A 24142-nucleotide genomic window follows, 5' to 3' on the forward strand; every position below is an offset into this window, starting at 1 on the left:
CTCCTATAATCCCAGCACTTTGGAACGCCGAGGCGGGTGGATCACCTGAGGTGGGGAGTTCGAGACCAGCCTGGCCAACATGGACAAACCCTGTCTCTACTAAAAATACAAAAATAGCCGGGCATGGTGGCACATGCCTGTAATCCCAGCTACTCGGGAGGCTGAGGCAGGAGAATTGCTTGAACTCGGGAGGTGGAGGTTGCAGTGAGCTGAGATTGTACCACTGCAATATGAGACTCCATCTCAAAGAAAAAAAAGAAAAAAAAAAAAAGATAGCATAGCAATGGCTGTGGGCCTGGATACAAGTCTTAGCCTCTCCACTTCTCCACTTCCTGGCTCTGTAAGCCTTAGACAAGTTCCTTAACTCCACACTTCCATTTCCATGTAACAAGGGGTTATAGGCCAGGCATTGGTGGCTCATGCCTGTAATCCCAGTGCTTTGGGAGGCCAAGGCGGGAGGATACTTGGGGACAAGAGTTCAAGACCAGCCCAGGCAGCACAGTAAGACATTGGCTCTAGAAAAATAAAAATAAAAGAAATCATCCAAGAATGGTGACTTGCCTACTATTCTACTCGAGAGGCTGAGAGGGGAGGATTTCTTGAGCCCAGGAGTTTGAGGATGCAGTGAGCTATGATCACATCACTGTACTTCAGCCTGAGCAACAGCAAGATCCTGTCTCAAAAAATTAAATTAGGCTGGGCTTGGTGGCTCATGCCTGTAATCCCAGCACTTTGGAAGGCCATGGTGGGCAGATTGCTTGAGCCCAGGAGTTTGAGACGAGGCTGGGCAACATGACGAAACCCCGGCTCTACCAAAAAATACAAAAAATTAACTGGGCATAATGGTACATGTCTGTGGTCCCAGCTACTCGGTAGGCTGAGGTGGGAGGAATGCTTGAGCCCAGGAAATAGGGGCTACAGTGAACCAGGATCATGCCAGTGCACTCCAACCTGGGCAACAGAGCAAGACTCTACCTCAAAATAATTATTTAAAAAAATGGATTAATTGGGCATAGGTGGCTTGTGCCTGTAGTCCCAGTTACTCAGGAGGCTGAGGTGGGAGGATTGCCTGAGTCTAGGAGGTTGAGGCTGCAGTGAGCCGGGATGGCACCATTGCACTCCACCTGGGCAACAGGGTGAGACCCTGTCTCAAAAAAGAAAAAAAAGGGAGGGGTTATAATCACTCCTCCTGACATGATACAGAGTATCCATTTGAGTTCATAACATAAATATGTACTTGGTGAATGCTCTGTAACTATTGGCTTTTTTATTGTTCCCATTTTACATATAAGGAAGCTGAGGCTTTGTGAGGAGAAATAGCTTAGCCCAGGTCATCCAGTGGGAAGCGTCTGGTGCAGAGGAATAGTGATCATGGTGGGACTTTGCCTAGCCTAAGGTTCAGCATACAATATTCAGTCAGTACTCAAGGGCTGGGCTGTTTCTGGTAATCAAAGGGCTGCCTTGTTCTCCTGCCCCACAGCACAGGAAATTCCAAGGTGGTTTTCTTTACAGGCTCCTCCGCTTCTGTGGCCAGAGGGGACAGCGGAGGAGCCCAGGTACCTAAGCCAACTCAAGAGAAGATGGAATTGAATATTTCAACCACCTTATCTAGGCCTCTGTGATTGTTGAGGAGGGGGCTGTCACTGGGAAAGTTGTGAGCTGCTTTGGACCTTATCTGGGAATTTCCTTGGGCTTACAGCCTTTACCCTATCCTTGAAATGGTTCTGGTTTCATAGCAACTTCTAGGTGGTGTGGGCGAAGTTTGGGACTGGTTTAGGGCGGGGACAAGACCAAGAACACAAGTTTCCTTGTACTACGGGAGAGAGGGAGGGGAGGAAATTGGAGACCCCAGCACCCCCTTGCTCACTCTCTTGCTCACAGTCCACGATGGCCCGGTCCCTGGTGTGCCTTGGTGTCATCATCTTGCTGTCTGCCTTCTCCGGACCTGGTGTCAGGGGTGGTCCTATGCCCAAGCTGGCTGACCGGAAGCTGTGTGCGGACCAGGAGTGCAGCCGTAAGAATGGGGAGGGGAGAATTGGGGGCTTGGGCGTTAGCCTGTGTGGAGGGTGCTGCATTCCCTTCTATTCCTTCCCTAGACCCTATCTCCATGGCTGTGGCCCTTCAGGACTACATGGCCCCCGACTGCCGATTCCTGACCATTCACCGGGGCCAAGTGGTGTATGTCTTCTCCAAGCTGAAGGGCCGTGGGCGGCTCTTCTGGGGAGGCAGCGTGAGTCTTGGGAGAGTGAAAGAGGGAAGGGTACAGAGCTGGGGTAGACTCATTATCCCCATGAAGGGAAGATTTGAGGGGGGTGAACTGAAATAGACATTGTGGGGGGATATTGTTACTTACTTTATTTTATTTGCTTATTATTTTTTAATTTTTTCCGAGACAGAGTCTTGCTCTGTCACCCAGGCTGGAGTGCAATGGCACGATCTCGGCTCACTGTAACCTCCACCTCTTGGGTTTAAGCGATTCTCCTGCCTCAGCCTCCCAAGTACCTGGGATTACAGGCATGCACCACCACACCTGGCTAATTTTTGTATTTTTAGTAGAGACAGGGTTTTACCATATTGGCCAGGCTGGTCTTGAACTCCTGACCTCATGATCTGCCCGCCTTGGCCTCCCGGAGTGCTGGGATTACAGGTGTGAGCCACTGCCCCCCAGCCTATTTTCACTTTATTTACCAATTTTAGGACCTGATATGGTCCCACGTTCTGTTCTAGACACCAAGATACAACAACAAATGATCCTTTTTATTCTAATGGAGGGAAATGAACAAAAAGCAAGGCATAAAAAATAGCAGCAGCCGGGCACAGTAGCTCACACCTGTAATCCCAAGTAAGGCCAAGTTGGGAGGATAGCTTGAGCCCAGGAGTTCGAGACCAGCCTGGGCAACATAGCAAGACCCCCATCTCTATAAAAAAAAATTTAAAATTAACTGGGCTTCATGGCATGTGTCTGTGGTCCCGGCTACTCGGGAGGCTGAGGTGGGAGGATTGCTTGATCCCAGAAGTTGAGGCTGCAGTGAGCCGTGATCATGCTACTGCACCTCAACCTGGGCGACACAATGAGACCCTGTTTCCAAAATAATAATAATAATAAAAGCAAATATGCGCTGCTGTGAGAATTAACAGAGACTTACTTGGGTGTTCAGAAAGGGCCTCTGAACAGGTGGCATTTAAGCTGAGATTCATATGACAAGGATGGAGCAGTTATGTGGAGATCAGGGAGAAGGGAGAATGCAAAGGCCTTCAGCAGGCACAAGCTTGCCATCTTCCCAGACCCTAGCTTTTAACTCCTCTTCCCCAGGTTCAGGGAGATTACTATGGAGATCTGGCTGCTCGCCTGGGCTATTTCCCCAGTAGCATTGTCCGAGAGGACCAGACCCTGAAACCTGGCAAAGTCGATGTGAAGACAGACGTGAGTGTCATGGGGGCTGGCAAGAAATGTGGGGGGAGGACCCTTAGGTTGTGGGGATGGGCAAAAATGCTCCCACACTTGGCTCCCTGGCAGCCTAGGTATGTGCGCTGGGAGAAATTCTTTCCCTGCCTCAATTTTCTCACCAGTAAAATGGGTCCAGTTGGGAGGTGCAAAGATTAGAGGGCTCTAGGCTAATTTGCATAGCACTTGTGTGGCCAGACCTGGGCCCTGCAGCTGCAGCCTTTGCTAAAACCACTAGATCCTTTGTGGTGTGACCGCTGGTTTTCTTTCCACTGTTTCCCCTTTCTCTTTTTCAGAAATGGGATTTCTACTGCCAGTGAGCTCAGCCTACCGCTGGCCCTGCCGTTTCCCCTCCTTGGCTTTATGCAAATACAATCAGCCCAGTGCAAACGGCTCGTCTCCGTGGTCTTTGGGGTGGGGTAGGGTAGGGTGGGGACTGTACAAATGAAATGTTTCTCTAGGTTGCTGAATCTAACCAATTAACCCGCTGCCTGTGGTAACGTCAGTGGTTGCTAGGCAGAGTTTCACTGATGAAAGCCCTGTGCAGTAGGAGCGCTCCTAAGCTTAGGTTTCGGACACAAGCAAAGGAAAACCTAAGCAGCCCAACTAGGGGATTGTAGTGTCCTCTCTAGACCAGTGGGAGGGAGCCAATCGGACTACGCGGAGGATATAAATCGCACAGTAAAGGTTTTCTTGGAAGATTATCTGGAAAGGGAGGTGGGAAGTAACCTGCGCCTATCTGCCCAGTTTTCCTCCTTTTCGCCTTTGAGAACAGTAATCGCTCCCGCCAGCTCAAGATCAGCTCCTCTTCCAGCCTCTTTCTGTCAATCCTGCCCGTGCCCCCTTCTTTGCATTTGTATCCCCTCCCCCAAGTCCGCTCCGATCCAATCCGGAGACTCGACTCTGCCCCCCGTACTCCAGACTAAATCCGTTCCTCGGCTCAGCTAAGCAGCTCTGCACGTCCCTTCCCACTTGCTCAGCCAATCGCTGGGCTCGGCCCCGCCCCTTTGGGCTTGGTCCTTCTCACGCCACCAATCCGCGCCTCTTGTCCCGCCCCCTGCCCGCGAGTCCGCCAATCCCGCCCTTCGGAAAGCGTCGCCTGGTATCCAGCTGCCGGAGCGGGTCGCGCCGGAGGGGGGCGGAGGCGGAAGTGGCGGTGCCGGGCCCGGGGAGTAGGAAGGAGCCGGGGCTGTAGCCGGAGTGGAGCGGCTGCCAGCCGAGGAGCAGGCGCGGCCGCGGCGCCATATTGCGGCCCTCAGCGGCCGCGACCGAGTCATGGCTGAGACCTACGGTGAGGGTGGTGGACGAAGCTGGGGTCCTGGGTCTGGGCCCAGGGAGGATGCGGCCTGTGGGAATGGGCGGGGCTTTGTAGATCAGGGGGCGGGGTCTGGTGTGATGGAGGCAGGACCTAAGTGGATGCTGGGAGGGGTTTAGTGGGTCTGAGGCTGAGCTTAATCGATTTAGGTGGAGCCTGAGGGTCTGGTGCGTGGGTTAAATAGATCTGGGGCGGGATTTGAGGGAGCTGGTCCTGAGGGGTTCAGGGAGGCCCTGAGGGAAGAGGTGGGCCTTAATGGATCTGGGCGGAGCCTGAGTGAAGGGGCGGGGCTGACTGCATGAATGGCAGGAGTCGGGCTTATGGGCTAGAGGGAACACTGAATGGAAGCTCGGGACCCTGGGGCTGATCTGGCTGGAGAGAGCTCTGGAATGGGTTTGGGGATGGGCTGTCCTTGAGTTAGGGGCAGGACTTAGTGGCAAAGGGTGGGACTTATGCATGAGAATGGAGCCGGGTTCTGGGCAGAGGGAGGGAAGGAGAGGTCGGGAAGTGGAAAATCAGTAGGGATGCACCATAGGAGGTGGTGATTGGAGGCAGGGGAAGTGCAGGTTTAGGAGTCAGAGGGAGCCGCATTCACTCAACAAATATAGAAGAGAAGGGAGAAGAGTGCAAAGACCCTGAGGTGAGAACCAGCTTGTCATTTTCAGGGAATAGACTGAAGGTCAGGAGCTATAGTGGAGTGAATGAGTCAGAGGGTGGTAGGAGGTGAAGAGGAACAAGGGCTATATCGTAGTCCTTGTTTAAATAGCTTTCAAGAGACTTTAGCGACAAAATAGCTAAGATCTGGGACTCTGGAGCCCTTGGCCTAGGTTTGAATCTCACTTCTGCCCAGCTGTGTCACTTTGGGCAAGTCAGTTAACCTTTCTGGCCTGTTACCTCATCCGGAAAATGGGAATAATTTTTAGTCTACCTCCCTCATAGAGTTTTCCTGAGGATGATGTGAGCTGTTGATGTGAGTAAAGACCTTTAGAACTGTTCCTGGCCCACAACAACACACAATTGACCCATGTAACAAACCTGCACATGTGGGCTGGGCGCGGTGGCTCATGCCTGTAATCCCAGCACTTTGGGAGGCTGAGGCAGGCGGATCACCTGAGGTCGGGAGTTTGAGACCAGCCTGACCAACATGGAGAAACCCCGTCTCTACTAAAAATACAGAATTAGCTGAGTGTGGTGGCGCATGCCTGTAATCCCAGCTACTCGGGAGGCTGAGGCAGGAGAATTGCTTGAACCTGGGAGGTGGAGGTTGCGGTGAGCCGAGATCGCGCCATTGCACTCCAGCCTGGGCAACGAAAAGTGAAACTCTGTCTCAAAAAAACAAAAACAACGACAAAAAAACCCCTGCACATGTACTCCCTGAATCTAAAATAAAAGTTGAAAAAAAATATATAGAATGTGCCTGGCACATGGCAAGTACTACATAAGAGTTATCTGTTACTGTTACCTATTGGTTTGTTTCTGCCTATGTCTGTTTCTCTCCCTCTAACTGTGATGGTTAGAGAGAGAGATTGGATTGGAATCCATCTTTTTTCCCTGTATCTTTCTCTCCCTGTGGGTATCCCTGATTTTGGCTCCATCTGGTCAGACTTCCTCTTCAAATTCCTGGTGATTGGCAGTGCAGGAACTGGCAAATCATGTCTCCTTCATCAGTTCATTGAGAATAAGTGTGAGTTTCCCGCAGTGGTCCTGGGAACCCTGAGCTGTGTTTATGCGCATGGTGTGGGCTGGTGGGCAGCCGGTGGGGAGGGCAGGGCTGGCCATAGGTACAAGTCCAGTGCTGGCTTTTTGGTCCTTGCTTTGTCGTATGTCCTTTACTAGGTTCTCCTTGACCTCAAGTCACTCCAGCAAGGAGAATGGGTTTGTAGAGACTGAGAGGGCCTTGGAGGATGGGGGATCCTCTGAGCTGTCTCCTCTCTCCCTGTACTGCCCCTTCTGTTCCTCCTACTCCCAGTCAAACAGGACTCCAACCACACAATCGGCGTGGAGTTTGGATCCCGGGTGGTCAACGTGGGTGGGAAGACTGTGAAGCTACAGATTTGGGACACGGCTGGCCAGGAGCGGTTTCGGTAGGTGGGCTGGGCTCCCAAGGGTGATGGGGAGAGAGAGTGAGAAGGAAAGAGAGAGATGTGTGTGTAGAGTCACTTGGAGACACTGAGAGGGCAGACAAGGCAGACAGAGAGAGATGAGACACCGTAGTTAGCAGGTATATATATCCAAGGAGAGAGGGAGTACTGGAGAGATAAAGAGATGGTGGAAGAAAAAGAGGTAGGGGCCAGGCGCAATGGCTCATGCCGGTAATCCCCGTGCTTTGGGAGGCCATGGTGGGAAGATTGCCTGAGCCCAGGAGTTTGAGACCAGCCTGGGCAACATAGTGAGACCCCATCTCAAAGAAAGAAAAAGAGATAGAGAAAAGTGGCTTGGGGGTGGGGAAAGGGATGGAGACTGAGAGACACCGAAACAGAAAGAGAAGGGGAAACTTGAGAGACTCACACTCAGAAAGGAAAAGAGCAAGAGAGACAGAGACTAAGAGAGTTGAAGAGAATGATAAGGGAGGTAAGGAGGCCTGGCACGGTGGCTTACACCTATAATCCCAGCACTGTGGGAGGCTGAGGCAGGTGGATCACTTGAAGTCAGGAGTTCAAGACCAGCCTGCCAATATGGTGAAACCGTGTCTCTACTAAAAAAAAAAAAAAAAAAAAAAAATCAAAAAATGTAGCCAGGCTGTGGTGGTGGATGCTAGCTACTTGGGAGGCTGAGGCAGGAGAATTGCTTGAACCTGGGAGGCAGAAGTTGTAGTGAGTCAAGATCGCACCACTGCACCCCAGCCGGGGTGACAGAGCGAGACTCTGTCTCTGAATAAATAAATAAATAAATAAATGAATAAATAAATAAATAAATAAATAAATAAATAAGGGAGGTGAGGAGACACAGAGAAACAGAGGTCAGAGGCAGAGAGGGAGACAGGGTGAGTCAGACAGGTGTAGTTGGACGTTGAATGAATGAATGCACGAATTTACGGGAAGGCAAGGGTGAGCATGAGAGCCACAGAGATGGAACAGAAAGAGAGACAGTGAGAAATAGGGAACTGAAGACACACACGCCAAGGCAGGAGAACCGCTTGAGTCCAGGAGTTTGAGACCAGCCTGGGCAACATTGTGAAATCCCATCTTTCCAAAAGAGAGATGGAGAAATGGACGTGTTGTGGGAGAGAGAGAGAGAGAAATGCGTAGGGCTCAACACACTGTAGGTCTTCAGGAAATGCCTGCAGAGCAGAAAAGTTGATAGACACATAGAAACCTTAGGAGAGGCCGGGCGTGGTGGCTCATGCCTGTAATTCCAGCATTTTGGGAGGCCGAGGCGGGCGGATCACGAGGTCAGGAGATCGAGACCATCCTGGCTAACATGGTGAAACCCCGTCTCTACTAAAAATACAAAAAATTAGCTGGGTGTGGTGGCAGACGCTGGAAGTCCCAGCTACTTGGGAGGCTGAGGCAGGAGAATGGCATGAACCCAGAAGGCGGAGCTTGCAGTGAGCCCAGATCGCGCCACTGCACTCCAGCCTGGGCGACAGAGCTAGGCTCCGTTTCAAAAAAAAAAAAAAAAAAACCTTAGGAGAGTCGGAGAAACAGAGAGCAGGGAGAGAAATAGAGGGAATTCAGTCCACGGAAAAGTGTGATCTATGGCAGCATCTAGTAGCTGCTGAGTTAATTCTTGCGTATGGATTAACTGCCTGAGGTGCACAGAGCCCAAAGGCAGAGAGAGGGGCTGAAGGATAGACAGGTGTGTAGCATGGGCTAGGTTTACGGTGAGTGCTTAGTAAATGCTGTGGAATGATTGCATGAGTTCCAGAAGGACCCAGACTGGTGAGACAGAGAATGCAGAATTGGCTACACTGGGAAGGAGACTCCACCTGACACAGCAGGAGAAGGATAAGCAGATGTTGTATAGTGCTTGGGCAGGGCCAGGCAAAGGGGAGATTTGCTCAGAAAATGTTGAATGAATGAATGCACAAATGCATGGGAAGGCAAAGGTAAGCATGAGAGAGCCACAGAGATGAAACAAACAAACAAAAAAGACAGAAATAGGGAATTAAATAGGGCCAGGCACGGTGGCTCACGCCTGTAATCCCAGCACTTTGGGAGGCCTAGGCGGGCAGATCACTTGAGGTCAGGAGTTCAATACCACACTGGCCAACATGGCGAAACCCCATCTCTACTAAAAATACAAAAATTAGCCGGGCGTGGTGGTGCATGCCTGTAATCCCAGCTACTTGGGAGGCTGAGGCAGGAGAATCACTTGCATCCGGGGGGCAAAGGTTGCAGTGAGCCAAGATCACGCCACTGCACTTCAGCCTGGGCGACAGAGCAAAACTCCATCTCAATCAGTCAATCAATCAATCAATCAATCAATAAAAGACATGTAGGGCCGGGCACAGTGGCTCACGCCTGTAATCCCAACACTTTGGGAGGCCAAGGTGGGCGGATCACTTGAGCTCAGGGGTTCGAGATCAGACTGGCCAACATGGCCAACCCCATCTCTACTAAAAATACAAAAATTAGCCTGATGTGGTGGCGTGCATCTGTAATCCTGGCTACTCGAGAGGCTGAGGTGGGAGAATCACTTGAACCCGGGAGGTGGAGGTTGCAGTGGTTGCAGTGAGCCGAGATCATGCCACTGCACCCCAGCCTGGGAGACAAGAGTGAGATTCCTACTCAAAAAAAAAAAAAAAAAAAAAAAAAGAAAAAGGAAAAAGACACATAGGTTAAGGCAGGAGAATCACTTGAGCCCAGGAGTTGGAGACCAGCCTCGGCAACCTAGCAAAGCCCCATCTTTACAAAAAATATTAAGAAATTAGCCAGGTGTGGTGGTGCACACTTGTAGTCCCAGACACTACATAGGCTGAGGTGGGAGGATCTCTCCGTTGGGATACTGAGCCTAGGAGGTCGAGGATGCAGTGAGCCAAGATCGTACCACTGCACTCCAGCCTGGGCTACAGAGCAAGACCATCAAAAAAATAAAAAATAAGACACACATGAAAGAGACACAGAGAGAAAAACAGACGAATGGAAAGATAGGGACACAGGGAGAGACAAAAATGGAGATTCATAAATAGAGACAGCTGGCCAGCTAAGTGAGATAGAAGCTGAGAGAGGCGAAGAGAGAGGGACTTCAAGGATGCAAGAAGAGAGAGGAATTGCATGGTGACCCGACCAAGGCCAGGTTTTGGGGGATGGGCCAGCAGTGAAGGGGGGGGCCTCCGAACCACCAGTCTGTCTCTGTAGAGGGGGGCATTCTCGGGGCAGACCCCAGCCTTGGGGGTGACTGGGTCCCCCTGGCCCCACAGGTCAGTGACGCGGAGTTATTACCGAGGGGCGGCTGGAGCCCTGCTGGTGTACGACATCACCAGGTGGGTGCCCGGGGTGGGTGGGGTAGGGCATGGGTGGTTCCTCTCCTGCACTGCCTCCCTCCCTTCTCCCTTCTCCACAGCCGGGAGACATACAACTCACTGGCTGCCTGGCTGACGGATGCCCGCACCCTGGCCAGCCCCAACATCGTGGTCATCCTCTGTGGCAACAAGAAGGACCTGGACCCTGAGCGGGAGGTCACTTTCCTGGAGGCCTCCCGCTTTGCCCAGGAGAATGGTGAGGGCTGTGTCGTGGACCAGGTGGTGGTGGGGGTGGACAGTCCACAGGGACCATGGGTTTACTGGCTCTCAGTGGCTGTACCCAGCAGGGGAACGTGGAGGTTCAGAAGTCTGGGTTCAAATTTGAGTGTTGGCTGGGTGTAGTGGCTCACACCTGTAATCCCAGCAGTTTGGGAGGCCAAGGTGGGAGGACTGCTTGAGCCCAGGAGTTTGAGACCAGCCTGGACAACACAGTGAGATCCTATCTCTATAAAAAATTTAAAAAATTAGCTGGGTGTGGTGGCTCATGGCTGTAGTCCCAGCTACAGTGGAGGCTGAGGCAGGAGGATCACCTGAGCCTGAGAGTTTAAGACTGCAGTGAGCTGTGATCACGCCATTGTACTCCAGTCTGGGAGACAGAGCAAGACACTGTCTCCAAAAACAACAACAACAACAAAACAACAACAAAACTAAGTGTTGCCATCAGTGAGCTATGTGATTACACTGGTTCTCAGTTTCTTCATCTGGAAAGTGGGATCACAGTGTTTCTGCCCCACAGTGTGCTGTGATGATTAAGGGAGATTGTGGAAAGTCCTTAGCACCCGCCACAGAGTGGGTGCTAGATTAATGTTGGCCGCTAAGGTTTCGCCTACCGTCAGGAGGCCGCACAGGGTATTGGTTTTTTAAATTAATTATTTTATTTATTTTTTCCTCCTACCGCACCTTCCTGGGTATTGGTTTAATGTAGAGATTGCAACCCTAGATGGCCCTAGGTGAAAGGCACTTTTTTTTTTTTTTTTCTGAGACGGAGTCTTGTTCTGTTGCCCAGGCTGGAGTATAGTGGCGCAATCTCGGCTCACTGCAACTTCTGCCTCAGCCTCCCGAGTAGCTGGGACTACAGGTGTGCGCCACAACGCCTGGCTAATTTTTATATTTTTAGTAGAGACGGGGTTTCACCATATTGGCCAGGCTGATCTCGAACTCCTGACCTTGTGATCCGACTGCCTCGGCCTCCCAAAGTACTGGGATTACAGGCGTGAGACACTGCGCCCGGTGAAAGGCACATTTTTGAATACAGGAGATGGGATGGGGTAGATCCTTGAGTAACAGGTACTGGTGTTAAGGGGAGTGCAGCATACTGACAACCCACACCAAAAGGTTTGCAAGGGCCAACCACAATGGCTCACACCTGTAATCCCAGCATTTTGGGAGGCCAAGGTAGGAGCATCACTTGAGATCAGGAGTTTTAGACCAGCCTGTGTAACAGAGTGAGACCCTGCCTCTACAAAAAAAAAAAAAAAAAAAAAGCCTGGGTGTGGTGGTATGTGCCTGTGGTCTGGGGTACTCAGGAGGTTGAGGCAGGAGGATCACTTGTGCCCAGAAGTTCGAGGCTGCAGTGATCTGCAATCACACCACTGCACTCCAGCCTGGGGGACAGAGAGAGACTTTGTCTCAAAGAAAAAAACAAAAAAGGTTTGCAAGTATAAACTCATTTGAAAACATTGTGTTGGCCAAACCACCCACATCTGGTGGCTTGAGATCTGCCTGTGTTCCCCTGTTTTGCAACCTCCAGGTTTAAAGGAGGTTTTGCCATCAGAGAGGTGTGGGTGTGAATTCAGCTCTGATTTTCTGACTGTGGGGCCTTGTCATGCTGCTGATGGGTAGACTCTGGTTGGCCTGTTCCTGTCCTAGATGGTGCTAGAGACACAGTGTTGGAGACAGCCCTAGGCCCAACCTTCATGGAGCTCACAGTTCAGTGGGTGAGGGTGGAAGGACAGACCCACTTCCAGACAGTGACACCTCAGGAAGGTCAGGGCTTGATGGTGAAGCACCGGGAGACAGGGGTCAGAGCCAGCAGGGGAGAGCCCCAGAGGGTCAGGGCCAGTACTGGGGGGGCAGGCAGAGGGATCGGGGTGGGATGGAGAACACAGGCAGAGGGGTCAGGGCTGGGATAGGGCAGGCAGAGGCAGAGGGGTCAGTTGGGATGAGGGGACACAGGCAGAGGAGTTACATGGGATGGGGGGCAAGGGCAGAGGGGTTGGGGTGGGATGGGGGGCCCAGGTAGAGGGGTCAAGGCCAAGTTTGGGAGGCACAGGCAGAGCGGTTGCATGGGATGGGGGAGCATGGGCAGAGGGCTCAGGGGTGGAATGGGGCAGGCCTAGGCAGAAGGGTCAGGGGTGGAATGGGGCAGGTCCAGGCAGAAGGGTCAGGAAAGGAATGGGGCAGGCCCAGGCAGAAGGGTCAGGGGTGGGATGGGGACCCAGGCAGAGGGTTGGGGCCAGGATGAGGAAGCACAAGCAGTGGGGTCAGGGCCAGGATAGGGGGCCACAAGAAGCTGTGGGAGCCCTAAGTCGGTACCTGACTCAGCCCAGGAAGTCAGGGAGGACTTCTTGGAGGAGGAGCTGTGTGAGCTGAGCTCTGAAGGAAGAGCTGGGTGGGCATATCGGGAAGCGGACATTAGTGGCAGGGAAATGGCATGCGCAGAGGCCTGAGGTGAGGGTAAGGGGGGATGGAACATTGGAGGAACAGGATGAGAGTCAGCAGGTGAGAGCTCAGTGGAGGGTGGGGACTAACTGGGGCCCTGACCTCAGAGTGTGTGCCCCTGCAGAGCTGATGTTCCTGGAGACCAGCGCTCTCACAGGCGAGAACGTGGAGGAGGCGTTCCTCAAGTGTGCCCGCACTATCCTCAACAAGATTGACTCAGGTGAGGCCCCGACCGGCCCGAGTGGGAGCGAAGGGCAGGCCCGGGGGTCTCCAGGCAACCAATGCTGACCTCTCCCCTTCCCCACAGGCGAGCTAGACCCGGAGAGGATGGGCTCTGGCATTCAGTACGGGGATGCGTCCCTCCGCCAGCTTCGGCAGCCTCGGAGTGCCCAGGCCGTGGCCCCTCAGCCGTGTGGCTGCTGAGCTCTGTGGAGCCAGGTGGGACACTGGGGGCTTTAGGGAGGCAGGGCGGCCTCTTGGGCATGGGGGAGATGGTGTGGAGATAGACACTGAACATGTGATGACAAGAGAAACAGAGTGAGAGAAAGATGCAAAAACACACAAGCTAAAGGAGGCATCTGGCTGGGCGCAGTGGCTCACGCCTGTAATCTTAGCACTTTGGGAGTCCGAGGCGGGCGGAGGCAGTTCATTGGGTGGGGGTGGGGAGACAGACCCACTTCCAGACAGTGACAGCTCAGAAAGGTCAGGGCCAGGCCTGGCTCGGTGGCTTATGCCTGTAATCCCTGTACTTTGGAAGGCCGAGGCGGGCGGATGACCTGAGGTCAGGAGTTCGAGACCAGCCTGGCCAACATGGTGAAGCCCCCTCTCTACTAAACATACAAAAATTAGCTGGGCGTGGTGGCAGGTGCCTGTAATCCCAGCTACTCGGGAAGTTGAGGCAGGAGAATCACTTGAACCTGGGAGGTGGAGGTTGCAGTGAGCTGAGATCACACCATTGCACTCCAGCCTGGGTGACAAGAGCAAGACTTTGTCTCAAAAAAAAAAAAGAAAGAAAGGTCAGGACCAGATGGGGAGGCACTGGGGGAGAGGGGTCAGAGCCAGCAGGGGAGAGGCCCAGGGGGGTCAGGGCCAGGGTCAGGGCACAGGCAGAGGGATCAGGGTGGGATAGGGCAGGCAGAGGCAGAGGGGTCAGGTGGGATGAGGGGACACAGGCAGAGGGGTTGCATTTGATGGGGGGTATACATAAGGTCAGGAGTTCTAGACCAGCCTGGCCAACGTGGTGAAACCCCTCCTCTACTAAAAATACAAAAATTAGCCAGGCATGGTGGTACATGCCTATAGTCCCAGCTACTTGGGAGACTGAGGCAGGAGAATCACTTGAACCCAGGAAGCTGAGGGTGCAGTGAGCCAAGATTCAGCCACTGCATTCCAGCCTGGGCGACAGAGCAAGACTCTGTCTCAAAAAAAAAAAAAAAAAAAAAAAAAAGAGACATCTGCCAGGCCACAGGGAATCCACCTGCAGCCCCAGGCCAGCTTCCTGCCCTAGACCTTGACCCTCCCATTCATAGTTCTCCAGCGATTTATTGAGCGCCTGCTGTGTGCCAGGCCCTGCTCAAGGCACTGGGGATATGGCAGGGAGTACAACAGACTCCCATCCTCATGGTGCTGACATTCTCTTTGGGGGAGACAGGTGATAAACAAGAGATGTAAGTCGACTGGGCGCAGTGGCTCACACCTGTAATCCCAGCACTTTGGCAGGGTGAGATGGGAAGATCACTTTGAGACCAGGCTGGGCAACAAAGCAACCTTATCTCCACAAAAAGTTTTTTAAAATTAGCGAGGCGTGGTGGTGTGCACCTGGAGTCCCAGCTACTTGGGAGGCTGAGGTGGGAGGATGGCTTGAGTCCAGGTGTTCGAGGCTGCAGTGAGCTGTGACCATGCGCCACTGCATTCCAGCCTGGGTGACAGAGCGAGACTCTTAAAAAAAAAAAAAAAAAAAAAAGTAAAGTATGTAGTAGTGAGGGAGGTAAGAACTATGGGGAAAAATAAAACAGGCACAGATGAGTGGATAGGGTGGAGGAGTGTACTTTTTTTTTTTTCTTTGAGATGGGGTATTGCTCTGTTACCCAGGATGGAGTGCTGTGGCGTGATCTCGGCTCACTGAAACCTCCGCCTCCTGGGTTCAAGTGATTCTCCTGCCTCAGCCTCCCGAGTAGCTGAGATTACAGGCGACTACCACCATGCCTGGCTAATTTTTTTTAATTTTTATAGAGACAGGGTTTCTTTTTTTTTTTTTTTTTTTTTTTGAGATGGAGTCTTGCTCTGTTGCCCAGGCTAGAGTGCAGTGGCACGATCTTGGTTCACTGCAACTTCTGCCTCCTGAGTTCAAGTTGCCTCAGCCTCCTGAGTAGCTGGAACTACAGGCGCCCGCCACCACGCCTGGCTAATTTTTATGTATTTAGTAGAGATGGGGTTTTACCATATTGGCCAGGCTGGTCTCGATCTCTTGACCTTGTGATCTGCCCGCCTCGGCCTCTCAAAGTGCCGGGATTACAGTGTGAGCCACCGCACCTGGCCGACACAGGGTTTCATCATGTTGGCCAGGCTGGTATCAAACTCCTGACCTCAAGTGATCCACCCACTCTTGGCCTACTAAAATGTTGAGATTACAGGCGTGAGCCACTGCGCCCGGCCAAGAATGTACTTTTTTTTTTTTCTGAGATGGAGTTTCACTCTTGTTGCCCAGGCTGGAGTGCAATGGCGCGATCTCAGCTCACCGCAACCTCTGCCTCCTAGGTTCAAGCAATTCTCCTGCCTCAGTCTCCTGAGTAGCTGGGATTACAGGCATGTGCCACCACACCCAGCTAATTTTGTATTTTTAGTAGAGACGGGGTTTCTCCGTGTTGGTCAGGCTGGTCTGGAACTCCCGACCTCAGGTGATCTGCCCGCCTCAGCCTCCCAAAGTGCTGGGATTACAGGCGGGAGCCACCACGCCCAGCCTTTTTTTTTTTTTTTTTTTTTGAGACAGAGTCTCACTCTGTCGCCATGCTAGAGTGCAGTGGCACGATCTCGGCTCACTGCAACCTCTGCCTCCTGGGTTCAAGCAATTCTCCTGCCTCAGTCTCCCGAGTAGCTGGGACTATAGGTGCGTGCCACCATGCCCAGCTAATTTTTGTATTTTTAGTAGAGACATTTCACCATGTTGGCCAGGTTGGTCTCGATCTCTTGACCTCGTGATCCGCCCACCTCAGCCTCCCAAAGTGCTGGGATTACAGGCGTCAGCCACCGCACCTGGCCAAGAGTGTACATTTAAACAAGATGAGGAGGGAAGCCTCGCTGAGAAGATGACATTTGAGTGAAGGAAGGGAGATAGGGAGGCCTGTGGGGATCTGGGGCAAGAGCACTGCTGGAGAGCACAGCAACGCTTCTAGCGAGGGGTATGCCTGGTGTCGGTGAGGGTGACCAAAGCAGCCAGTGTGGTCATCATGGAGGACCTGTGTGTGTTTTGTGGGTACAGCATGAGATGGGGTCAGGGGTTGGAGGAAGCAGATCAGTTAGGGCCTGTGGGCCCTGGGGAGGCCTCTGGCTTATACCCTGTGTGGGAGCCATGGGAGGCTTCTGAACAGAGGAAGGACAGGATCAGATTCAGGGGTGCAGAGAGTTCCTCTGGCTGCATAAAGGGAAGGGGCTGTGAGGGACAGAGGAGGTCACCAGGACACCAGAGAGGAAGCTGCTGCAAAGTCCAGGGAAGATGGTGGAGGACAGGACAAGGGGGCGGGAAGAGGAGTGGCTGAGAAGGGAATAGGGTTCATGTCCTCCCTAGACTCTCTGTCTTCCAGTCTTGGCCTCTCTCTTTTTTTTTTTTTTGGTTCCTGTCTTTTTATTTTGAGACAGAGTCTCGCTCTGTCACCCAGGCTGGAGTGCAGTGGCGCGATCTTGGCTTACTGCAAGCTCCGCCTCCTGGGTTCATGCCATTCTCCTGCCTCAGCCTCCTGAGTAGCTGGGACTACAGGCACCCGTCACCATGCCCGGCTAATTTTTTGTATTTTTTTTAGTAGAGATGGGGTTTCACGGTGTTAGCCAGGATGGTCTCGATCTCCTGACCTCGTGATCCTCCTGCCTCGGCCTCCCAAAGTGCTGGGATTACAGGCATGAGCCTTTCCTTTTTTTTTTTTTTTTTTTTTAATTTTAGAGAGAATCTCACTCTGCTCACTCTGTCACCCAGGCTAGAGTGCAGTGGCGCCATCTTGGCTCACTGCGACCTCCGCCTCCCGGGTTCAAGTGAGTCTCCTGCCTCAGCCTCCCAAGTAGCTGGGATTACAGGCATGTACTGCCACAACCAGCTAATTTTTGTATTTTTTTTTTTTTTTTGGAGATGGAGTCTCGCTTTGTTGCCCAGGCTGGAGTGCAGTGGTGCAGTCTCGGCTCACTGCAACCTCCGCCTCCTGGGTTCAGGTGATTCTTCTGCCTCAGCCTCCCGAGTAGCTGGGACTACAGGTGCGTGCCACCACGTCTGGCTAATTTTCTGTATTTTTAGTAGAGATGGGGTTTCACCATGTTAGCCAGGATGGTCTCGATCTCCTGACCTCGTGATCCACCTGCCTCGGCCTCCCAAAGTGCTGGGATGACAGGCGTGAGACATTGCGCCCGGCCAATTTTTGTATTTTTAATACAGACAGGGTTTTGCCATGCTCGTGAGGCTGGTCTTGAACTCCTGACTTCAGGTGATTCACCCGCCTTGGCCTCCCAAAGTGCTGGGATTACAGGCCTGAGCCACTGTGCCCTGCCAATCCTGTCTCCTTTTGATGCAGCCACTGGGTCTTTCTAACACACATATCTGCTCCTGTCGCTCCCTTTTTCAAAACCATCCATGCATCTCAGGGCCCCAGGACACAAATGAACTCCTCAGCCTGGTGTTTGACCCTCTGCAGGGACTGGCCCCTGCCAGCCCAGCCTTACCGGCCTCAGCCACTTGTCGGTCTCCCTACCTCTCAGGCCACTCCAGCCACACTGAAGTTCTTCCCATTCCTCTGGGCCCTTGCTCATGCTGGGCCTCTGCTTGGAACATTCCTACCCTCTTTTCCCTGGCAACCTCCTTCCTCCAGGCAGCACTACTTGTTCCTCCAGGCTTGGTCCAAACTTTTGTTTTTTTTTGAGATAGAGTCTCTGTCACTCAGGCTGGAGTGCAGTGGCGTGATTTCGGCTCACCGCAACCTCCGCTTCCAGGTTCAAGCAATTCTGGTGCCCCAGCCTCCTGAGTAGCTGGGACTATGGGCATGGGCCACCAACGCCTGGCAAAGTTTTTATATTTTTAGTAGAGACAGGGTTTCACCACGTTGGCCAGCTGCTCACAAACTCCTGGCCTCAAGTGATCCACCCACCTCAGCATCCAAAGTGCTGGAATTATAGGCATGAGCCACTGCACCCGGCCCCAAACTTCTTGACAGGCTTTCAAAACCCTGCAGGATTTGGTCCCATCCCTCCTTCTCTGGGGGATGTGTATGTCTTGCCAGTTCTCCCTTCTATACTTCATGCTAAATCCCCTCCCAGCCCTTGGCAGCTCCAGGGTGGGACAGGTGGGGAACAAGTGGTTAGACCTTGGATCTACTTGGAAGGCAGAGCCAACGTGATTTCCTGATGGAATGGATGTGTAATCTGAAAGAGAGAGAGGAATCAAGGATGATGTCTTCAGACAGTGCTCTCTTGTCTTTCCAGGACTTTGCACCTGCTGTGCCTGAGCCTAAGTTTGCTCATCTGTAAAATGAGGCTAATAATAGCACCTGCTTCTATAGATGTTGAGAAGAAGAAATACATTAATTCACGAAAGTGCTCAGAATGGGGCCTGATGGTCAAGACTTGATCGATGAGGGCTGTTTTTAAAGTTTTCTTCTTATCCATCTTTGGGCTGAGCTCAAATGAATGGGTGTGTCTTCTTCACCTCAGGGCTTAGCAGAGACTCTGTCCTAGAGAGTTTGCCCTCAGTAGGTGAAATGTAACAAGGCAAGGCAAGGCTTTTTCACACTTTGCTGACTGCAATCTACAGGAGGAAATATATTTTATGTGTTAATCAAGGACTGACTGTAGCAGATCCCACCCACATATAAAACTCAAACACACATTTTCCTACCACCAGTATTCTTTCGTTTCTTGGCACTAAAATGAAAGTCACATAACATACATTTACGTGACTTTTCAAAGTGTACAATTCAGTGGCATTCAGTACATTCACAGGGTTGTGCAATCACCACTTCTGTGTTGTTCCAGAATGTTTTCTTTTTTTTTCTTTTCTTTTTTTTGGAGACAGAGTCTCGCTCTGTTACCCAGGCTGGAGTGCAGTGGTGCGATCTTGGCTCATTGCAAGCTCCACTTCCAGGGTTCAAGCAATTCTCCTGCCTCAACCTCTGGAGTAGCTGGAATTACAGGCATGCACCACCACACCCGGCTAATTTTCGTATTTTTAGTGGAAACGGCATTTGACCGTGGCCAGGCTGGCTTGAACTCCTGACCTCAGGTGATCCACCCGCCTCGGTCTCCCAAAGTGCTGGGATTACAGGTGTGAGCCACTGCGCCCGGCCTCAGAACGTTTTCATTACTCTCAGAGGTGCCATGCTTATACTGCTTTGTACCTTATACCTTTGTACCCATATTTATTAAGCAGTCACTCTCCATTTCCCCCAACCCCTAGCAACCACCAATTTGTTTTCTGTCTCTTTTGGCCAATATGATATTCTTTTCCTTTTCCTTTTTTTTTTGAGAAGGGTCTCACTTTGTCACCCAGGCTGGAGTGCAGTGGCACCATCTCAGCTCACTGCAGCCTTGACCTCCTGGGCTCAAGTGTTTCTCCCACCTCAGCCCCCCAAGTAACTGGGACTACTGGTGTGCACCACCACGCCCAGCTAATTTTTATATTTGTATTTTTTGAAGAGATGGGGTTTCACCATGTTGCTCAGGCTGGTCTCGAACTCCTGAGCTCAAGTGATCCACCCACCTCAGCCTCCCAAAGTGCTGGAATTACAGGTGGGAGCCACCATGCCTGGCCTCTTTTCCTTTTTTCTTTTCTTTTCTTTTTTGTTTTTTTTTTTTTTTTTTTTTTTAGATATGGTCTCACTGTGTTAGCGGGGTTGGTCTTAAGCTCCTGGCCTTGCCGGGCGCAGTGGCTCACGCCTGTAATCCCACCACTTTGGGAGGCTGAGGCGGGCAGATCACGAGGTCAGGAGTTCGAGACCAGGGTGACCAACATGGTAAAACCCCACCTCTACTAAAAATACAAAAGTTAGCCAGGCGTGGTGGTGTGCTCCTGTAATCCCAGCTACTCAGGGGGCTGAGGCAGAGGAATAGCTTGATCCCTGGAATCAGAGGTTTTAGTGAGCCGAGATCGCACCACTGCACTCCAGCCTGGGCGACAGAGCTAGACTCCGTCTCACAAAAACAAAAACAAACAAACCAAAAAAACCAAAACAAAACAAAAAAACTCCTGGCCTCAAGCAATCCTCCACCTCAGCCTCCCAAAGTGCTAAGATTACAGGCATGAGCCACCGAGCCCAGCCAACCAATATAATATATCTTTTTAAATTATTATTATTATTTTTTGAGATGGAGTTTCGCTTATGTTGCCCAAGCTGGAGTGCAATGGTGTGGTCTCGGCTCACTGAAATCTCCGCCTCTCAAGTTCAAGCGATTCTCTTGCCTCAGCCTCCCTAGTAGCTGGGATTACAGGCGCCCGCCACCACGCCCAGCTAATTTCTTTGTATTTTTAGTAGAGACAGGGTTTCAACATGTTGGCCAGGCTGGTCTCAAACTCCTGACCTCAGGTGATCCGTCTGTCAGCCTCCCAAAGTGTTGGGATTATAGGCATGAGCCACTGCGCCCGGCCTATTTACAAAATTTTTTTTTTTAAATAATGTTTTAATTTTGTAGAGATGGTGTCTATGTTGCCCAGGCTGGTCTTGAACTCCTGGGCCCAAGTGATCCTCTCTTGCCCTTGCCTCCCAAAGTGCTAGGATTATAGGTGTGAGCCACTGTGCCTGCCCAACCAATAGAATATTCTTATTATATATGATGCACTCTGGTATTTGCCGTTCTGTGCTATTCTGTTTGAATTTAAAAATTGGTCAAGACCCACCAAACTGATTTCCCCACCAAGGCAGTGACACACATTAGAATGACCTGGAGAATTTTAAAAGATACTGATGCCCAGGCCTCACCCTAGAGATTCTGAAGTGGTTTCAGGACTTTTTCTTAATTAAAAGATAAATAGAGATGAGGTCTCACTATGTTGCCCAGGCTGGTCTCAAACTCCTGGCCTCAAACGATTTCTCCCACCTTGGCCTCCCAAAGTGCTGGGATTAAAGACGTGTGCCAGGCTGGGCATGGTGGCTCACGCCTGTGATCCCAGCACTTTGGGGGGCTGAGGCAGGCGGATCACAAGGTCAGGAGATGAAGACCATCCTGGCTTGATCTGTAGATCAAGTGAAACCCCGTCTCTACTAAAAATACAAAAAAAAAAAAAAAAAAAAAATTAGCCAGGCGTGGTGGCAAGTGCCTGTAGTTCCAGCTACTCAGGAGGCTGAGGCAGGAGAATGGCGTGAACGCAGGAGGCGGAGCTTGCAGTGAGCCTAGATCGCGCCACTGCACTTCAGCCCAGGCAATAGAGCGAGGCTCCATCTCCAAAAAAAAAAAAAAAAAAAAAAGATGTGAGCCAGCCAGTTGCAGGATTTCTGGAAGCTCCCAGGTAATGCTATATACAACCAAAGTGAGAACCACTAACCTAACGTTGTCTCCCCAGCTTGGGGAACAGTGAAATGAGACTTAGAGCCAGGGTGATCCAGGAACATAGAGGGACACAGAAAGATACAAAGGCAGGTTCATTTTATTTATTTATTTATTTATTTATTTATTTATTTATTTAAATTTTTTGAGATGGAGTGTCCCTCTGTTGCCCGGGCTGGAGTGCAGTGGTGTGATCTTGGCTCACTGCAACCTCCGCCTCCTGGGTTCAAGTGATTCTCCTGCCTCAGCCTCCCAAGTAGCTGGGACTACAGGCACCTACCACCACGCCTGGCTAATTTTTGTATTTTTAGTAGAGACGGGGTTTCACCATTGGCCAGGGCGGTCTGAACTCCTGACCTTGTGATCTGCCTGTCTCGGCCTCCCAAAGTGCTGGGATTACAGGCGTGAGCCACCGTGCCTGGCCGATTTATTTATTTATTTATTTATTTATTTTGAGATGGAGTTTCGCTCTTGTTGCCCAGGTTGGAGTGCAATAGTGCAATGTCAGCTCACCGTAACTTCTGCCTCCTGGGTTTACAAGATTCTCCTGCCTCAGCCTACTGAGTAGCTGGGATTACAGGCATGTGCCACCACACCTGGCTAATTTTGTATTTTTAGTGGAGATGAGGTTTCTCCATGTTGGTCAGGCTGGTCTGGAACTCCCGACTTCAGGTGATCTGCCCGCCTCGGCCTCCCAAAGTGCTGGGATTACAGGCATGAGCCACCGCGCCCGGCCTATTTATTTTTTTGAGACAGTCTCACTCTGTTGCCTAGGCTGGAGTGCAGTGGCACAATCTTGGCTCACTGCAATCTCCACCTCTCAGGCTCAAGCGATGTTCCCACCTCAGCCCCCCAGGTAGCTGGGACTACTGGTGCATGCCACTACACCTGGCTAATGTTTGTATGTTTTTGTAGAGACGGGGTTTCGTGGTGTTGCCTAAGCTGGTCTCAAACTCCTGGGCTCAAGCATTCCTCCTGCCTTGGCTTCCCACAGTGCTGGGATTACAGGCGTGAGCCACTGCGTCCATCCAGATTCATGATATTTAGATGTTGAAATGTGGCTTTACAGACTCAGACAGCTCTCTGAGGCAAACAAAGAGGGAGATGCAGGTACCCTCAGCACAAGCCCCAAATTACCTGCAGGGGAGAGGCGGAAAATCAGACAATGTAGAAACCGGGAGAAGAAAGGTATGGACAGACCGATGCAGATAGGAGGGGAAGGAAATACCTGGAAATGAGATAGAGACCGGCTGGACAGACCCCGGGGACCCTGCAGGTCACCACACCCTTCTCTTTCAGCTCACCTGTTCTCCAGGACCAGCCCTGCTGGGGCCCAGGCCCAGGCTCTGAGAGGCCGTGTCCTAACCTGCCCTGGCCCCGGAGAAGCTACGTTGCCACCTGTCCCCCTTCCCTGGCCTGGTGGGGCCTGGCTTTGGGGCAAGACTGAGCCACGGGGGAAGGGGGAATCCCGTACCTGCTGCTGCTTCCTCTGTCTTGGCTAACGTCTGTCCCCCTGAACCCCTAACCATACCCCAAGAGCTCCCAAAGCCTGAGACCAGGGTCATTTGTCCCCAACTCCCCATCTGGCCCTGCTGTTGCTAGTACCTGTTATTTATTACCTGGAGGCCTGTCCAGCACCCACCCTACCCCCATAAAGCATTGTTTACACCTGTGTCTTGGCCTCCATTATTGTGAGATGGCAGGGAGATGGAAGAGGTCCCTGATGGAAGAATCATGTGTCATGGTGTTTGGGGGCCTTGTTTCTGTTTTTTTGTTGTTGTTGTTGAGATGGAGTTTCCTTCTTGTTGCCCAGGCTGGAGTGCAGTGGCGTGATCTTGGCTCACCACAACCTCCACCTCCCGGGTTCAAGCTATTCTCCTGCCTCAGCCTCCCGAGTAGCTGGGATTACAGGCATGTGCCACCACACTTGGCTAATTTTGTATTTTTAGTAGAGATGGAGTTTCTCCATGTTGGTCAAGGTTGGTCTCGAACTCCCAACCTCAGGTGATTCGCCCGCGCTGGCCTCCCAAAGTGCTGGAATTACAGGTGTGAGCCACTGGGCCTGGCCTTGGGGGCCTTGTTTCCTGATTGGACGTGGTGTGGGGTATACCAAGCATGATGACTCAGGTGCCTGTTGCGGAGGGAGGGAATTTGTTACTGTGTGGACAGTTTGTGACAATCTGTGTTCTAAGCTCACGTGTGTAAACACGCTGATGTCCCTGTGTTTGTGACATGTGTACATGTTTCCAGTACCTGCATATGGGATGATGTCTATAGGATATAATGTGTGCTGGTTGTGTGTGATGCTGACAGCCGTAACTGCTCTGTGGCCTTGGTCATTGTATTGGTGAGGCTGGTATTGTTTGGGACATCAAGGCCAGGGGATGGGAATTTGGACCTATAGGTGGGCCTCCGGTGTGTGCATGTCTGATGCCTGAGAGTCAGAGGCAGTGACTCACTACTGCGTGTGTGCCTGTGCATGTGTACCCCGAGGTCTGTGTGTGTTTTGGTGTGAATTTGGCTCCTT

The 24142-nt window shown here is 51.7% G+C and overlaps 2 protein-coding genes and 2 long non-coding RNA genes across 5 annotated transcripts in view, besides 4 other annotated features; all 4 read left to right on the top strand.

Moving 5' to 3' along the window:
* The first annotated feature begins 1504 nt into the window (after positions 1 to 1504).
* MIA (MIA SH3 domain containing) lies at positions 1505 to 3835 on the top strand. 2 transcript variants are annotated; one of them, NM_001202553.2, is made up of 5 exons: positions 1505 to 1556; positions 1882 to 2014; positions 2097 to 2230; positions 3314 to 3424; positions 3742 to 3835. In NM_001202553.2, exons 2-5 carry the CDS (start codon positions 1888 to 1890, stop codon positions 3763 to 3765), a joined length of 396 nt encoding a protein of 131 aa, NP_001189482.1. In that variant the 5' UTR covers positions 1505 to 1556; positions 1882 to 1887; the 3' UTR covers positions 3766 to 3835. The 2 variants fall into 2 exon arrangements, with proteins under 2 accessions (NP_001189482.1, NP_006524.1); NM_006533.4 differs by lacking the exon at positions 1505 to 1556 and having other exon boundaries at positions 1866 to 2014.
* On the top strand, positions 1882 to 23289 carry MIA-RAB4B (MIA-RAB4B readthrough (NMD candidate)). Its single transcript, NR_037775.1, has 10 exons — positions 1882 to 2014; positions 2097 to 2230; positions 3314 to 3424; positions 6364 to 6444; positions 6730 to 6844; positions 10123 to 10185; positions 10266 to 10420; positions 13010 to 13105; positions 13193 to 13323; positions 22915 to 23289. It is a non-coding gene; the product is annotated as an MIA-RAB4B readthrough (NMD candidate) (long non-coding RNA).
* Positions 3726 to 3855: a silencer, noted in NCBI's record as "silent region_10647". NCBI's record gives its function as "represses an Ori minimal core promoter by ATAC-STARR-seq in GM12878 lymphoblastoid cells {active_cell/tissue: GM12878}" and the evidence as "EXISTENCE:reporter gene assay evidence [ECO:0000049][PMID:35858748]".
* Positions 4406 to 4645: a silencer, noted in NCBI's record as "silent region_10648". NCBI's record gives its function as "represses an Ori minimal core promoter by ATAC-STARR-seq in GM12878 lymphoblastoid cells {active_cell/tissue: GM12878}" and the evidence as "EXISTENCE:reporter gene assay evidence [ECO:0000049][PMID:35858748]".
* RAB4B-EGLN2 (RAB4B-EGLN2 readthrough (NMD candidate)) overlaps positions 4564 to 24142 on the top strand; it is a 30223-nt gene continuing 10644 nt past the window's right edge. The window contains exons 1-7 of the long non-coding RNA NR_037791.1: positions 4564 to 4736; positions 6364 to 6444; positions 6730 to 6844; positions 10123 to 10185; positions 10266 to 10420; positions 13010 to 13105; positions 13193 to 13323. This is a non-coding gene — a long non-coding RNA (RAB4B-EGLN2 readthrough (NMD candidate)). The remainder of the gene's footprint in view (positions 4737 to 6363; positions 6445 to 6729; positions 6845 to 10122; positions 10186 to 10265; positions 10421 to 13009; positions 13106 to 13192; positions 13324 to 24142) is intronic.
* RAB4B (RAB4B, member RAS oncogene family) lies at positions 4592 to 23287 on the top strand. The gene is made up of 8 exons (NM_016154.5): positions 4592 to 4736; positions 6364 to 6444; positions 6730 to 6844; positions 10123 to 10185; positions 10266 to 10420; positions 13010 to 13105; positions 13193 to 13323; positions 22915 to 23287. Exons 1-7 carry the CDS (start codon positions 4721 to 4723, stop codon positions 13306 to 13308), a joined length of 642 nt encoding a protein of 213 aa, NP_057238.3. The 5' UTR covers positions 4592 to 4720; the 3' UTR covers positions 13309 to 13323; positions 22915 to 23287.
* Positions 4706 to 4775: an enhancer, noted in NCBI's record as "active region_14667". NCBI's record gives its function as "activates an Ori minimal core promoter by ATAC-STARR-seq in GM12878 lymphoblastoid cells {active_cell/tissue: GM12878}" and the evidence as "EXISTENCE:reporter gene assay evidence [ECO:0000049][PMID:35858748]".
* Positions 5663 to 6194: an enhancer, noted in NCBI's record as "H3K27ac-H3K4me1 hESC enhancer chr19:41285223-41285754 (GRCh37/hg19 assembly coordinates)". NCBI's record gives its function as "activates a minimal SCP1, AML or CMV promoter by ChIP-STARR-seq in naive H9 embryonic stem cells {active_cell/tissue: H9 hESC(naive)}" and the evidence as "EXISTENCE:reporter gene assay evidence [ECO:0000049][PMID:30033119]".

This window comes from Homo sapiens, chromosome 19, assembly GCF_000001405.40.
Source record: "Homo sapiens chromosome 19, GRCh38.p14 Primary Assembly".
Taxonomy (NCBI): Eukaryota; Metazoa; Chordata; class Mammalia; order Primates; family Hominidae; genus Homo; species Homo sapiens.